Raw genomic sequence first — 16520 nt, forward strand, 5'->3', positions numbered from 1 at the left:
TAGTAAGGTCTGTGTGATTACAACACTAAGTTTTATCCTGTAAGCTTAGTCTTTCACTGCTGGTATAATGAGATCATTGACTACTAATTTAATGATCCTAATTAAAACATGCATTCCTTGTCTGTTAGTTTTGTTTTGAAACAGAAAGACTCTCTCTCTTTCTAACATTTTTCTAAATCTGCCACTGAGATATTCTTTTTTTTTTTTAATTATTATACTTTAAGTTTTAGGGCACATGTGCACAACGTGCAGGTTAGTTACATATGTATACATGTGCCATGTTGGTGTGCTGCACCCATTAACTCATCATTTAACATTAGGTATATCTCCTAATGCTATCCCTCCCCACTTGCCTCACCCCACAACAGGCCCCGGTGTGTGATGTTCCCCTTCCTGTGTCCATGTGTTCTCATTGTTCAATTCCCACCTATGAGTGAGAACATGCGGTGTTTGGTTTTATTGTCCTTGCGATAGTTTGCTGAGAATGATGGTTTCCAGCTTCATCCATGTCCCTACAAAGAACATGAACTCATCATTTTTTATGGCTGCATAGTATTCCATGGTGTATATGTGCCACATTTTCCTAATCCAGTCTATCATTGCTGGACATTTGGCTTGGTTCCAAGTCTTTGCTATTGTGAATAGTGCCGCAATAAACATACATGTGCATGTGTCTTTATAGCAGCATGATTTATAATCCTTTGGGTATATACCCAGTAATGGGATGGCTGGATCAAATGGTATTTCTAGTTCCAGATCGCTGAGGAATCACCACACTGACTTCCACAATGGTTGAACTAGTTTACAGTCCCACCAACAGTGTAAAAGTGTTCCTATTTCTCCACATCCTCTCCAGCACCTGTTGTTTCCTGACTTTTTAATGATCGCCATTCTAACTGGTGTGAAATGGTATCTCATTGTGGTTTTGATTTGCATTTCTCTGATGGCCAGTGATGATGAGCATTTTTTCATGTGTCTTTTGGCTGCATGAATGTCTTCTTTTGAGAAATGTCTGTTCATATACTTTGCACACTTTTTGATGGGGTTGTTTGTTTTTTTTCTTCTAAATTTGTTTGAGTTCATTTTAGATTCTGGATATTAGCCCTTTGTCAGATGAGTAGATTGTAAAAATTTTGTCCCTGTTTTTAGATGACATGACTGTATATCTAGAAAACCCAATCATATCAGCCCCCAAATCTCCTTCAGCTGATAGGCAACTTCAGCAAAGTCTCAGGATACAAAATCAATGTGCAAAAATCACAAGCATTCTTATACACCAATAACAGACAAACAGAGAGCCAAATCATGAGGGAACTCCCATTCACAATTGCTTCAAAGAGAATAAAATACCTAGGAATCCAACTTACAAGGGACGTGAAGGACCTCTTCAAGGAGATCTACAAACCACTGCTCAATGAAATAAAAGAGGACACAAACAAATGGAAGAACATTCCATGCTCATGGGTAGGAAGAATCAATATCGTGAAAATGGCCATCCTGCCCAAGGTAATTTATAGATTCAATGCCATCCCCATCAAGCTACCAATGACTTTCTTCACAGAATTGGAAAAAACTACTTTAAAATTCATATGGAACCAAAAAAGAGCCCGCATTGCCAAGTCAATCCTAAGCTAAAAGAACAAAGCTGGAGGCATCACGCTACCTGACTTCAAACTACACTACAAGGCTGCGGTAACCCAAACAGCATGGTACTGGTACCAAAACAGAGATATAGACCAATGGAACAGAACAGAGCCCTCAGAAATAATGCCGCCTATCTACAACTATTTGATCTTTGACAAACCTGACAAAAACAAGAAATGGGGAAAGGATTCCCTATTTAATAAATGGTGCTGGGAAAACTGGCTAGCCATATGTAGAAATCTGAAACTGGATGCCTTCCTTACACCTTATACAAAAATTAATTCAAGATGGATTAAAGATTTAAATGTTAGACCTAAAACCATAAAAAACCTAGAAGAAAACTTAGGCAATACCATTCAGGACATAGGCATGGGCAAGGACTTCATGTCTAAAACACCAAAAGCAATGGCAACCAAAGCCAAAATTGACAAATGGGATCTAATTAAACTAAAGAGCTTCTGCACAGCAAAAGAAACTACCAACAGAGTGAACAGGCAACCTACAGAATGAGATATTTTCAATGCAGATATTTTCTAGATCTGCTGCTATTGAGATATCCTCTATCCAGAGCTTGCTAATGGGATCCTCCCAACCATACAAACAAAATACAGATACTTTCCCCAATACAATAATTTTCTTGACCACTCCCATCTACCCCCTTGAAGCCTTGACTATTTTTACAACATAATCTGATTTTTCACAAGCTTTGTTTAACGGACTATAAAATAAAAAACTTAATTAGGACACTGAACAGAATTTTACTTGGATTAAATAATTGAACATCATCTAAACCTTCTAAACCTGATGAAAATCCCCAAACACATGAAGAGGAGAAAGAAATACCTCACCTCTGTTTCCAAGAATCTTCTCAAGGCTCTTTTCTTTTTGATGCTCTTCCTTCTAACATAAACAGCAAATGTCAGACCCACAATGACCAGAATGAAGAGCCCACCAATTACTCCAGCTGCAATCAGGGGAGTTCTGACAACCAGAATGAGAAAAAAAAAAATAAAAAGTATGAAGAGAGAGAAGACAGAGGAAGAGAAAAGAGCAGTTGTACAAGACATTATCCACATTTCACAAATCTAGTCATTTAGATGAAATGCAAATATAAAAGTGCATTAGGTTTTGCTCTACCAAAACCTTTCTCATGGTAAAAACTATGGTTGTTTTTGTGTGTTTAACAAATAATAAACCATGCATGTACAACTAATCTTTGAGATGAACAGTCACAACATGCCATTTGATGAAAAAAATGTAAAACTTGCTAGCAGTATGAAAAACATATGCCAAGACATTGGTGTTGGCGCATTTAATATTTTTCTATTATATATGAATAAACAGGAAATGCATTGTAAGAATATTGTTGTGGTTTGTAATTTTATTTCCAGTAATTTCTCTGAAGCAGGCTTTCACAACAGTGGCACTATTGACATTTGAGGCTGAATACCAGTTTGTTGTCGCGAAGTGTCCTGTGCATTTTAGGATGTTTAGTAGCATTCCTGGCTTCCATCCCTGAGATGCCAGTAGCACCCCCATCCTCTAGTCATGACAATGTCTCCAGACATTCCCAAAGATCTGTCAACATCACCCCCAGTTAGGAAGCACTGCTCTAATGCAAAAATGAGTGGTCTGAAGACATAGAAACCCCACACCTCTGGAGTATAAGGGTACCAATAAGAGAGTTATTATTGCCCAAAGTGCTATTTGAAACTCTGATTAGGGCAACTCTGGTAGAAAAAAGGTCAGGAGAAAGATAAAGAATTGGTTCAGACATGTTTTCAGAATAATGACAAGAGTATTAGAATCAATAGTGTGTCTCAGCATCATACACTCATAAAAGAGGTTTGCACATGAAGCATTACATAAAAAGTGGTAAACAGTACCAAAAAGGGATTAAGAAGAGATTGATTGGAAATCTTCATTCTTAAAATGTTTTTGTAATGTATTGTTAGCAAAGATATAATTTTGAAACTGATCACTTCTTAGCTAATTTTTTCCTTGCTTAAACAGTAGTAGTTGTGATTTTTAACTTGTTCTAGAGTAGAGCAGTATCTCTGAAGTTTCCGTGGTCAGAGTTCTTAATCATATGAATTTTGTATACCATAGGAAATAATCTTGAGTGAAACACACAGGTGTTACCTAAAAAATATTTGACCAGGAAGCCACAATGGATATCAAAACTAAAAAAGAACTTCCTGCCTGCTCATGCTTTCCATAATAAAGCATTTTATATCTTATATTTATATTTTTAAAAGAACTTATACTACATTTTCTTAAAAAATACTTTCTCTTGCTAAATAAACTTCTGCTCAGAGATAGATCAGAAATAGTATGGTGGATGATTCTCAATAAAATCTTGAAATTTTAAAAAGCTCATAAAAAAAATCTGCGTAACTTCTTCTATAAATGAAATCATGTCTTTTAGAGATTATGACTGCTATATTGTCATATAAAACTGCAGAAAAATCTAAAAAGGTAGTTCATCCTAAAGGTTGTTTCCTGACAGCTCAAAGTACTATAGTATACTGAAATGTTGCTATAATTCAGCTAGATTTTTCTAAATGGGATTTTCTAAAGATATAAAAATCTCTGCTGAGAAAATTAAACTATAGTATGGAAAAAAATTCTTCATTGTGATATGTTTTTGTTTGTGTAAGATCATATTTTTGATCATGCAAGTTAAATATGTATTTCAGGAAATATTTTATGTTTCAACCAAAGGTATAATTTTTAGCTCAAATGCTTAACATATCCCTGAAAAGTCACTGTTATTGAAAGGGTCATATTTTTGTTTTCTCAGTCCAATTTTTTATCGCAAAATATTTATGTATAATTGAGACTAATGTCCAACATTTCGTTAATTGTAGATTCAGACCAAACTCTAAACTTTCTCTGCTTATTTATTTTGCAAAATAATAGGTGGTATACATATTTATGTAAATATATGTAAACGTCAATGTCACTGTATATGAAAAGAAAACGCTCTATTTTGTTTTTTGTTTGTTTCTTTGTTTGTTGTTGTTGTTATTTTTTAAGAACAAACTTCCAGGAGAAGAAACTAATACCTCTCTTTTTTCTTATTTTGGTGGAGATTGATTGCCATATAATTACTATACAGGCAAGTAATGGTAATCAAAATAAGACATTCAAAAACTCAAGACAGTAATTTCTGGTTTTATAGTTAGAATTTACTTTCAGTATTTTCTCACAGCAATATTTTTGGTCTACTTGAATTTCTTTACTGTTTTCTTACCACTCTGCAGGAACGGTAGAGGTACAAACAACCTGAAGGAATAAAGAACTAAAATTTCTGTACTTAAAAATCATATATAAGTGTTTTATTGAACATTATAAGAGGCCAAATTCTGCCTATTCCCACAGAATTTACGTTTGAAACATAAATCATTAACCACAAACAAGCAACCAGTAAAATCAAGAGGAGGGAATATTCCATAAGACAACTTGCAGTTTCTTTTTATTAATTGAGTATCATGAAAAAGGTGCTGATGTAGCTTAAGAAGACTTAATAGACATAGCAACTGGATATAAAATGTACTCCTGCATTAGATCCTAGTTTGGACAAACCAGTTATAGAGTCTTTTTGGAAAACTTGAAAGATCTAAATATAAATTATATAGTAGATGAGAAGATAATTTGCTGCAACACAAAGACGTGCACCACAAACTGAAAAGATTCGGTTTCCAAACAGTAGAACTTCAATATGAAAAAATACATATTCATATATGTCTACAAATATATCCTCAGATGCATAGATCTGGAATAATATAAAATAATATACTAAATAGTAGTTGTCTCTGGGTAGTGTGAATACAGTGCTCTTATTTTTACTAATTTGTATTTTCTAATTTTTTTTTTTTTTTTTTTTAAATTCACTAGGGTTTTTCTCTCTTTGACATTTAAACAAGAACACAAAGTAAACAGGAAATACAATTTCCAATGTCTTTTAAAGATAATGTTTTTATATAAGTTGTGTGTTCTCACTAGTTTTTTCTTCTTGAGGTAATGTATTAATTAATCACAATCTGCTCTTATAATTTTGACATTCACTTTAAAACTCCAAAGGGAAGATGTGATTAGGTATTAAAATTATCTTAAACAATATTAAAAGATAGACATATAGGAACCTCTATATTCCAGGCCAAACTACCTAAGCAAAAGAAAGATTTTGATGTTAGTAGAAAATATTTGCAAACTATACATCTAACAAAGGTCAAATATCCAGAATATGCAAGAAACTTGAGGCCGGGCCAGTGGCTCACGCCTGTAATCCCCACACCTTGGGAGGCCAAGGCAGGTGGATTGCCTGAAGTCAGGAGTTCTAGACCAGCCTGGCCAACATGGCGAAACCCCATCTCTACTAAAAATACAAAAATCAGCTGGGCGTGGTGGCATGCACCTGTAAATCCAGCCACTCCAGAGGCCGAGGCAGGAGAATCGCCTGAACCCAGGAAGTGAAGGTTGCAATGAGTATTTTCTAATTTTTTATGATCCATTTATATTCCTTTTGAAATAAAAGTTTATTAAATTCAAGAAAAATGCAGAAGAAAAAATCATTGTCTAAAAGTTTAGCTTTGTAATAATGGCCTTGTTCTCTTTTTCTTGAATGTTTACTTTGCTTTTTTTTCAATTAAGATTTCATTTTGTTATTCCCTGTCCACTTTTACAATCTAAGTACTTTTGTGTATATTTTCTATTCATTATAGTTTGATATGTCTGAGACATTTGATTACTATTATGTTTCTTACAGTTAACATTATGTACCATAAACCAAGATAATCTGAAAAGTTAATACTATTTTCACATTTCTTACTCCTCTGAATTTTTATGATTCCTAGATGTTTGTAAGTATAGGATAGATATCTTTTTCTTGTTTGTTTTTTTCCTGAGAATTTATGCTTAGCTCCTTTTATGAGGACCCTTTGGGTAGAGAGGAAATAGCAACCTAAGTTACTTCTTTAAATGGCTGTGCATCTCTCCTTGGTCTAATGATGATAATGGCTATTACCAACCAACCTGTTTCTGAGCGTGAATGTGATTTATTTTATTTTTATTTTTTAGATGGAGTCTTGCTCTGTTGTTGCCCAGGCTGGAGTGCAGTGGTGTGATCTTGGCTCACAGCAACCTCCACCTCCCAGGTTCAAGTGATTCTCCTGCCTCAGCTTCTGGAGGAGCTGGGATTACAGGTGACTGCCACCATGCCCAATTAATTTTTGTAATTTTAGTAGAGATGGGGTTTCACCATGTTGGCCAGTCTGGTCTCCTCACCTCATGTGATCTGCCCGCCTTGGCCTCCAAAAGTGCTGGGATTACAGGCATGAGCCACCACTCCAGGCCTTGAATGTGAATCTTGTATGTGAATCAGCGGAAGCGATAAGAGGCTCAGTTGACACTATGAGATCACAAGGTTCAAATACTAAGGGATCTAGAATACTCTGATTCCTTATCTTTAACAGGAGTATTGCAATTTTTTTGTCTTGTCTTTTGGCTGTCCATTAAAAATGGTTGAGACCCCCTAAAGTATAAATTTCTAAGATCAAGTCCAAGCTTAGACTAAAAGGATACGATCAATTGATAGTTTACCTTATTCTGTGACTTGGAAATAGTATTATGAAACTGATATCCTCCCACTACTGAAGAAACTAATCTCACAGGGATTCTGAATCACAAACGAATTTTGCTAATTTATTTAAAAGCAAATGATTTGGTTTTCATAATTTCATTTAGAAATTCAGAGACAATGAAATGGATTAAATTCTACTGACTTGAATGCAATTGTTTTATAAAAGAGCAGCATCTTTCCAAGCTATATTACTCATCTAAAATATGTATATTCTTAATTACTATATTTGGACCATGCTATTTCTCTCATGCAGAATATAAAATGTGAGAGGACACATGAAACCTTAGTTTTAAAAACATCCGGATATTTTCTCCCATTGATCAGTTTCTTTTCAGATGTCAGACCACAAAAAAAATGTAATAAAGTCAATATAATTCATGATTAAAACTCAAATGTTTTAAAAAACTATTTTGTTATACTCTTTCTATTTAATGTTATAAGGACTGGCTATCTTTTAAAAAGGAACAATAGTATTTTCTTAATTGGCGAAACTGGTATTTTGATGCATATTGCAATAAATGTTAATTCTATGATTCTACCTTTTTTTAAAGGTAAGTTCGTCACCAAATAAAAGGTTTATTAAATTTTGAATATATGTGTATTTTCTTTACTTTTTTGAATACAGAATAATTTTCAACTAAAGATAAAACAACCTGTAGTCCTATAAAACACTGATGGTATACTTGCAATTCATAGTATTGACTATGAATCAAAGACTTTCACTTTTAGAAGCTTTTAGATTAAACTAAATAATTTGAAGAAAGGTCTTCAGGATTTGTTGCATCAGATGTAGACCTGCTTCACTTGCTTATCTATGGGCACTAAATGTTAAACTGAAAATGCGTGTGTGTGTTTTTTTAAAAAAAAAGTATATAAGAAGGAAAAACAAACAAAGACAGGCTAGTCAGATAAATTTAACAGGGATTTTTTTTTGTAAAATAAACTTTGCAAATTGCAAAACATGGTAAAACAGTATCTCCAACATTACTACTTTGTGTTAATCTTTCAAATTCTGTATGACTTTTCCTTATTGTGGCAGAAAGATGCTTTGGAGCCAGGCAAATCTAAGTTTTAATCATATGTCTACTTCTAACCAATTGTGAGTTTACTGCCTCTATCAAATAGCTTAAATATACACAAATACATTCTTTACCTAAGCTAGTACAAAAAATAAATGCAGAAGGAAATTATATAGTCATGTTTACATTCATAGTATCTAATGAATTTGCTTCAAGATCATTTCTAGCATTATCATTAAATCAAACACCTTGAAGTTTAGGAATTATTCATCCCATTTTGGCCAGGACGGTCTTAGTTTATGCCAGTCTAATAATCAATAATGCCACTTTTACTCTCCAAAGTGCCTCTATGTGAGCAATAAATCAAATGTTTATCCTACATTTAGCCCAATCTAAAGGAATTTAGGATACCCAGAGTTAATAAGTATTTATCTATATCTCTATATTAAAATGTGTATGTTGGGGTATGTGTGTATGTGTATATAGGATCGAAAAAACTTCAGTTTACCTCTATGAAAGGGAATAATTCTATGAAATCTGACATCTTCATTTTTAGTAGATTATTTCCCATCAAAAATAAATGCATTGCTAATGACACTCTGTTGTGCTATAAAACCCATGAGTATGTGTAGGTGTGTGCATATATACACATTCACACGAAAGTGTCTTAGTTTTATTTTCAGCAAGTTTTACTTTCTGGGAAAGTAAATTAATTACTGCATTTTATGAATGTATATGTAACTTAAATGTATATTTCACAAACTAGGGTCAAATGTTACAATTCTCTATAAAGTTATATTTCATTTTAAAAATATAATTAGGTAACATTGGCCATCATCCTATATCCTATCTTTCTTCTGAAAATCTTACAGTGGCTACAGATGAAAGCATAAGTCTATCATGACCCAGAGGACAAATGTATGCTCAGGGGTATATTCTGTTTTGTAAAGTGTTCTTGCTGTAAGAAAAATGTAGTTGATCAAAAACCTATTGACTCTCTATTAAAATCAAATTCTTATAATTCATTCACAATTACCAACTGAGGCAAGGAATATAGCTTTGAAAACAATAACGTTTTCAATATTTTCTTAATTATGTATATAATTTAAACATAGCAAAAGGTCTGTTTCCATAAGAGAAAGACAAGATTTGACAGCCATCAGATTCTCACAGGTTTTATAGCACACAGGGTGTCACTAGCAATGCACTTATTTTCAATGGGAAATAATCTAATAAAAATGAAAATGTCATATTTTCTTAGAAATCATTCCCTTTCATAGAGGTAAACCAAAGGCTTTTTTGATCCTATATACTACTTTTAAATTTAAATCATTTAGCTCCACTGAATGTGAACTTTCCATTCTAATAATTTCCAATACTTGTATATTTTATAATTAGAATTTAACTTTTACATACATTGTATAGTTTCACAATAACGATGTAACACATATCTTGTAAACTCCATATTAAATACAAGAAAATAGAAAAGATGCCTGGATAACATCAAATATAAATAGTAATGCTAACATTTTATGTATTGGAGTCTCAAGTCCATTAAACTTTCACCTATTGTATTTTTTCTCTTTCTAAAGATGATATATTTACACAAATATCATTATTCAGGTTTTGCTTCAATATCTATGCTTGATAGTAGAGAATACAAAATGCACATAAATTTATTTAGGGGTTTTCATAGAACTTTTATATTTAGTTATATCTTAATATTTTACTTCTCTTTCGACTATCATTTTATCTGTATTGCTATATTCATTGTGATTTACTTTTATTAAATCCTTTATATCCTTGGGTGTAAAGTTTATAAGTGACATTCTTCTTCTTTTAGCTTCATTTTGTTTTCAAAGTGAGAAAACAGTTAAAATGGTTTTCTTTTTTTTTTAACTTATATGGGATTTCCTTTAAGAAAGGTAAAGACGAGCAGTATCTATTATTACAGTGACAGTACCTATTGTACTGCTACTCTGTTCAGCCTTCCCCAAAACAGTTCAGATTTGAAACAAGAGACCTTGAAACACCAGGAAACATTGAAATTCCCCAGAAGACATTTTAAGGGTTACTGCCTGGGGCAAGGAGAGCTACATTAAGGGAGTTCTTTTTCTCCTACAAGTAGTGCTTATTCTGACCCAGAATTCAACCTGCTTTATAAACATGACACATCTTTTCTTTTTGAGCAAATGAAAGTGATCTTACAGTTTTTGGTTGACGAGACCTGGGGTATTACAATAGGTCTCTGTCCTTTGATTAAGGCTCAAGATTCCTCTATTACATTTCAAATATGACCAAAACTGTAAGTGCTGAAGCTAATGAATCAGAACGTACTGTCCCCCTTCCTAAGCAAATTTGAATGTTTTTTGACTCGGCTTTATGTGTTAAAATCAATCTTTTTTTCAATATGTGAATGCAACATTTCATTCGATAACACAGTGTTGCAAAAGTACTTCAGTAGAGATATTGCCATTAAATGAATATGTAAATATAATCTGATCCTTTTATATCTAGATCAGCTTCTGAGAAAAAATTTCAAGTAGTTTCAGAGCAAACCTTCCTTCTCTTTACAGGCAACATTTACACATATCTATGGGCTTTTGTTTGTTTTATCAAATTTTGGGGAAGTACATAAACTTATACACTTGACTTTCTGGCAAACATTCTCATGTTAAGGACACCATCCTCAGAATATATATAATCTATCTAGGAATTTCTACACCCAGGATTTTCTACAACTAAAGTGTTGAAAACGAATTACGCCAGGAAGAACTTTCCTTTTAACAGGGTTTTTAAGAGGTCAGATGAAGTTTTGGTGCTTTTATTAATTCTTCCACAGTTTATACCTATTATACAATATCATATATCTATATACCATACTAATACAGTAACTTTATTATTGTTTATATACTGTTATCTAGATAGAATATATATAAGGACATGTTTTGTGACACAAACAGAATATTGTAAATATTTAATTACAGAACAAATTAACCGTTAAGTATCACTATGTCCTATTACTTATTCATTATATGGACAAGGTAATATGAAGCAATAGAGCAAAAGATTTAAATGTCCAGGATTCAGTTCTTACAACTTCAGTTACATTAGGTACCAAAATTGTTCAGCATGCTAAGTAATTTAAGTTTCATAATAGAGCAGAAAGTATTACATAAACACTGCTCTGTGAAGAAAAGTGGGAGAGGGATAAATCATGGCTGGCACCATTCTTGTTCCCATATTTAAAAAGTTTTCTTCGCCTTAAAATCTCCATTCATTCTATGCACTATAATTTCAGATAATTAGTTGTTAACAGAGAATATATTCTATGTATAAATTGCACCTACCTTTATCTATCGAAGCATTAAGCATACACATTTCTGTCATGCTTATTGTACACAACTACATAAGACAGATACAGAGCAATCTCATTTTCAGAGGGTTTGCAAACTTTTTTTTTGAGAAGGAGTCTTACTCTGTTCCCCAGGCAGGAGTACAGTGGCGCCATCTTGGCTCACTGCAACCTCCACCTCCGGAGTTCAAGCGACTCTCCTGACTTAGCCTCCCAAATAGCTGAGATTACAGGCACCCCCCCACCATGCCCAGCTAATGTTTGTATTTTTAGTAGAGACAGGGTTTCACCATGTTGGCCAGGCTGGTCTCGAACTCCTGACCTCAGGTGATCTGCCCGCCTCGGCCTTCCAAAGTGCTGGGATTATAGCTGTGAGCCACCAAGTCTAGCCTTGAAAACATTTTTAAAGTAATAGCCTGGTTTGTTTGTTTGTTTCCTTGATAGTCAATTCTGTATATAAAGCATTTTTGATTTTTTTTTAACTATACTTTAGATTCCCCAATCCTTGTTTTATACTGAAAGAAGATTTTTTTAAAAATAAAATGCTAACAAAGAGGGATTAAGGAAGTATCTTTCTTGGGAAGTATCACTACTCTTTATTCAGATGATGTATTTTCTACTTACATTGGCCTGCTGGTAGCCCTTTTTCCTGCTGCGGAGACCTACAAGTGTTCATCGGGGAGTTGGTGGCCTTGCAGCCTACTGAAGATTTGAATGAAGTGAGATGGGAAAAGACTTTAAGAAGTGAATACAGTTGTGGGAAAAATACCAGGATTTTTGGACATCTATCTAGAGTCACTGGACATTTCTTGCAGGATTAATGAACAAAGCTCCTTTTCCTAGATATTTTATATGTGTTATGTCAAATAACTCTTCCAATATAATTGATTATTGATGTATGGTGAATCTGAAGTAGGTTATACAACTTGTCCAAGGTCCGAAGCATTCTAACTGGATAGTCAAGCCTAGACTCTTAGTATATTTTTCTCTAAATCCTTTTTCCATTAAAATATAATTATGCGGTTATATTAGGAAAATTATTCTGGTAGAAAGTTGTAAGATAGATAAGCAGGAAAAAGAAAAGATATGCAAGAAAATTAGTTTAGCTGACTGTTTTAAAAGTCCTCATGAGTAATAGTGAAAGACAGATTAGGAAAGTTTAAAAGGAGATATGGTGAGAAAATGTATTAACAGCAGCAAAACTGATAAAAAGTATAACCTCAACAGTGGAGAAAAAGCAGGCATCAAAAGTGACTAGACTCCCATGCCTATGGGAATATAATAAGGCCGATGATGCCTTAAAGGGACGTGCAGAAATCAGCAGACAGACAATTAGAAGGGAGAAGTTTTTAGTTCTTTTTGATCTATGGATTTGAAGTGCTAAAGGGTATCCAAAATCTATATCATTTCATTCAACTTTTACAATTTCTTTACATATTTGTTATTCTTGTAATTTCAAGACCCATACCTGTTGATTTTATTAATAGCTTCACATTTTTAATTAAAGTGAGTCACAGACAACATTCCATTCCATTCCCTTTAAGTTTTTCTAGTACTTTATTTATTCTCTAGGAACATTCAAAATGCAAAGGAAGAAAAATGTGGCTAAAGGGGCTTTATTTCTTTTCTACTTCCTCTCCCTGTCCCTTTTGTTTTGCTGATAGACTATATCATTTTATGCGGTTTCACTTATCTCATCAAGATAAATTCTACTGTTCCAATCTGTTTTTGTTCTTATCTTTTTACTGACCTTTTGAGATCATCATTTGCAAGAGGAACAAACCTTAAAAATATTTAATACATTTAAAAAACCTGTTCATAGTGCTATTTGCCTTGGGTAACACATGCTAGAGCCAGATGCCTTAGTAAGGCTACATAGATCTCATTGCTAATTCTTGTGCCTTAATGCCATCCCCCATTTGGAGAATTTAAAATTTGACATTAAATATTAAAGCTTAAAGAAAATTATTTAATTGAAAAAGACAATTAAACATAGATACTCCAAAAGAGTCCCCTTCATATTCTTTTATAATTTGGTAGTTTTTATAGAAGAAACCTTATGTTCCAGATGCAAAGCTGTAAGTACTAATAAGTGGCTTCAATTTTATTGTCATCTCTGTGACTGACCTCAATTCATTCCATTTTGCTATCGTGGTTTCAAGAATATTTGTTTTTAGTACTTATGTGTCTTAGACACTACTAGACCAAACTTGATTTAGGTATTTATAATTATGCTTTCTTGGATTCTTTTCTATTTCAAAGTAAATTATAAGCCCCATGAGGTTAGGACCATCATTTCTAATTTTTTTTTTTGTTTTATCACTCTAATAACATTGTCTAAGAAGTTTATCAATAATTATTATAAAGTGAATGAAATAGTTAAGTGGGATATTTTAAGTAATAATGAGTTCTTAAAAATGCAATTCTTCCACTTGATGTGACTCTTTAGTATTTGGAACAATTTTGGAAAAAGCAGAATATTTTCTTTGCATTTATCTCTTAAACAGTTTGTCTAAAACTGATCATTTTATTTCCATTCTCTTAATTCTTGAATTAACTCTCATCACATTTTTAGTCTCTGTCTCTTCACTAAATCGGTTCTTATCAAGGTCATCCAATGGTTTTCTTGCTGCCAAATCAAAAAGTAATTTCTTAGAGCTAATCTTAATCAACCTGGTGGTAGATTTTCATATAAATGATCAGTTCCCTTTTCTTGAAACACTGTCCTCCCTTGAAAGCCATCCTTTCCCTAGTTTCTTCCCTGTCTGGTCAGTCCTTTTCACTCATTTTCTGCTATTTGCTCCGTGTTACCCTGACCTCTAAATATAGGAAAGCCTCAGGACTCAATCATTGGATTTCTTTACTTTCCTACTTATGCCCTAGACAGGATGTACCATCCATCTCTTTATCTATGTAATGATAAGCAAGCATATTCAGAGATTAAAGGTAAAATAAAAGAATTTCTATTTTTATAAGCTCAAACATAAGTCCTTTAAGTGCTAGAATTTTGCCACAAACACTTTCATATGTTTTAGAGTCTAGTTTATTGTCTCATGAAAAGAAGTACTAAATAGCTGTTACATGAAGAAATAACTGGATGAAAGTTTACTTCCATAAATACTTACAAACTTTTTATCTTAAATCAACCCTTGAAAGCACATATATCCAACAACAATCTCAGAGCTCCCTATATGTTTTTAAACTTAACAAAAGCATAATTCTAAAATATCTTTAATGGAAAGAAAATGAGAAGAGTTATTTATGTAAGGCTTCTCTGAAATGAAGCTGATACGTGTTTAACATTTGCTTATTCCAGCTTTCGTAGTAATTGGTAAAATAATATTTTCTCCTAAAAGCAGTGAAACTAATCCTGAGACAAGTTATTTTTCTTTGCTGGTTTTAGTTTAGTTTATCCCTCACCCTCACCACACTGCGTCCAAGTCCCAGGCTGACTGAAGCAACAGTTGTTCCTACTCCATTACCCCTAACACACTAGTGATTTTTAAAACGTTAAGTAACAACTTCCTCAGTCTCTCTGCATCTTGGTGTAAACATACAACAAAATTCTTGCCAATGAAATGAAAGCAAAGGTTGACCATAGGGAATTCTGGAAAAGAACAGGTAGAGCTGATGAAGCCTATCCCTCTACTTCTGTCCTTGGATCTAATGCTTAGAGCTGTGGCACTCAGTGTACTATCAAAACAGAAAGATAATAAAATGATATACGTTCTGGTCCTGTTGTTACTGATCCATGAAACCCATGGCAACAGCTATGCCATTTCTAGACTACTGTTATGAAATAGAATAACACCTAAAACTATTGGGTGAAGCCATTACTTTTTTTACTTGTAGGCAAGGAAGATACTAACTGAAAAGTTCGTATGAAAAGTGACTATGTCCAAATTTTTCACTTTTCCTTTTTTCTTGCATTTTAACTGTCAAATGCATCATCTCAAGATATTTGCATTTTTAAAAACATAAATGAAGTCAATGGCCCTTTCCTTTCTTGTTAACACTTACTATCTCTGGTGCTTCTATTACATCTGCTTCATCATCCTACTCTTCTGGTCATTGACTAGGCTTTACGTGTATCAGACTTTTCTGAATGCTTACATTGGAGGGGGACAGGGGTGGGAGGAAGTGCCTCACACATTTGTAAGTAACACTAAGTAGAAGCTTGTAGAGCTTCCTCAAGGATGCTGTCTCTGAATTGTGGAATTATATGTGCTGTAATAGACAGGATATTATGTGTCATCCATTTCCAAGCAGTAATAAAATTCAAAAGTAGTAAATGTTTCCTGAACTTACACACCTCAAGCAAATATGTACTGAAAGATCAATAAAGAGAACATGAAGAAACACAGGTCTTCATTAGCATTTAATTTGGCAAAACAAGAACATCCAAGTTTTCTAATTTCTGGATCCATAGTAGATTGGAAGTAACCCAAGGAAAAAATGAGAGGGTGAGACTGTTTCTGCCTCCACAGGGGACTTGGCGAAAAGACAAACAAACCCTCCTTTCACAGAGGCTTTTGGTCATTGCACCCCATTTTAAATTATGTTTTTAACTTAGAATTGATTAGTTTTTATATTCTAAGAGGAGGTTTATTGTGACTGAATTCACAAAAACACATTTGAAAGCATTTAATAACAATGTTTAGTAATATAACTCCTTTCTAAACTTATATAAACACCCAACCCCTAATTAGAACACATTTCTAATTATGGGGAAACCCATTTTTTTCAAAAGCTATTGCCTAGGCGATGTTATGATTCGGCAGATGCTCTGAATACAGATTCACAGCCTCCAGATAATGTAAGAGAAAAAAAAAATCGAACCTAAGCATTTCAAACAACA

The 16520-nt window shown here is 33.4% G+C and overlaps 1 protein-coding gene across 11 annotated transcripts in view; it reads right to left on the minus strand.

The window, feature by feature from the left end:
- ERBB4 (erb-b2 receptor tyrosine kinase 4) overlaps positions 1–16520 on the minus strand; it is a 1163086-nt gene that overhangs the window by 252253 nt on the left and 894313 nt on the right. For all 11 annotated transcript variants that reach the window (NM_001042599.2, NM_005235.3, NM_001439006.1 and 8 more), the window contains one exon: positions 2493–2625. In NM_001042599.2, the coding sequence (NP_001036064.1) occupies positions 2493–2625 (133 nt within the window). The remainder of the gene's footprint in view (positions 1–2492; positions 2626–16520) is intronic.

The sequence above is a fragment of the Homo sapiens genome, chromosome 2 (assembly GCF_000001405.40).
Source record: "Homo sapiens chromosome 2, GRCh38.p14 Primary Assembly".
Lineage (NCBI taxonomy): Eukaryota > Metazoa > Chordata > Mammalia > Primates > Hominidae > Homo > Homo sapiens.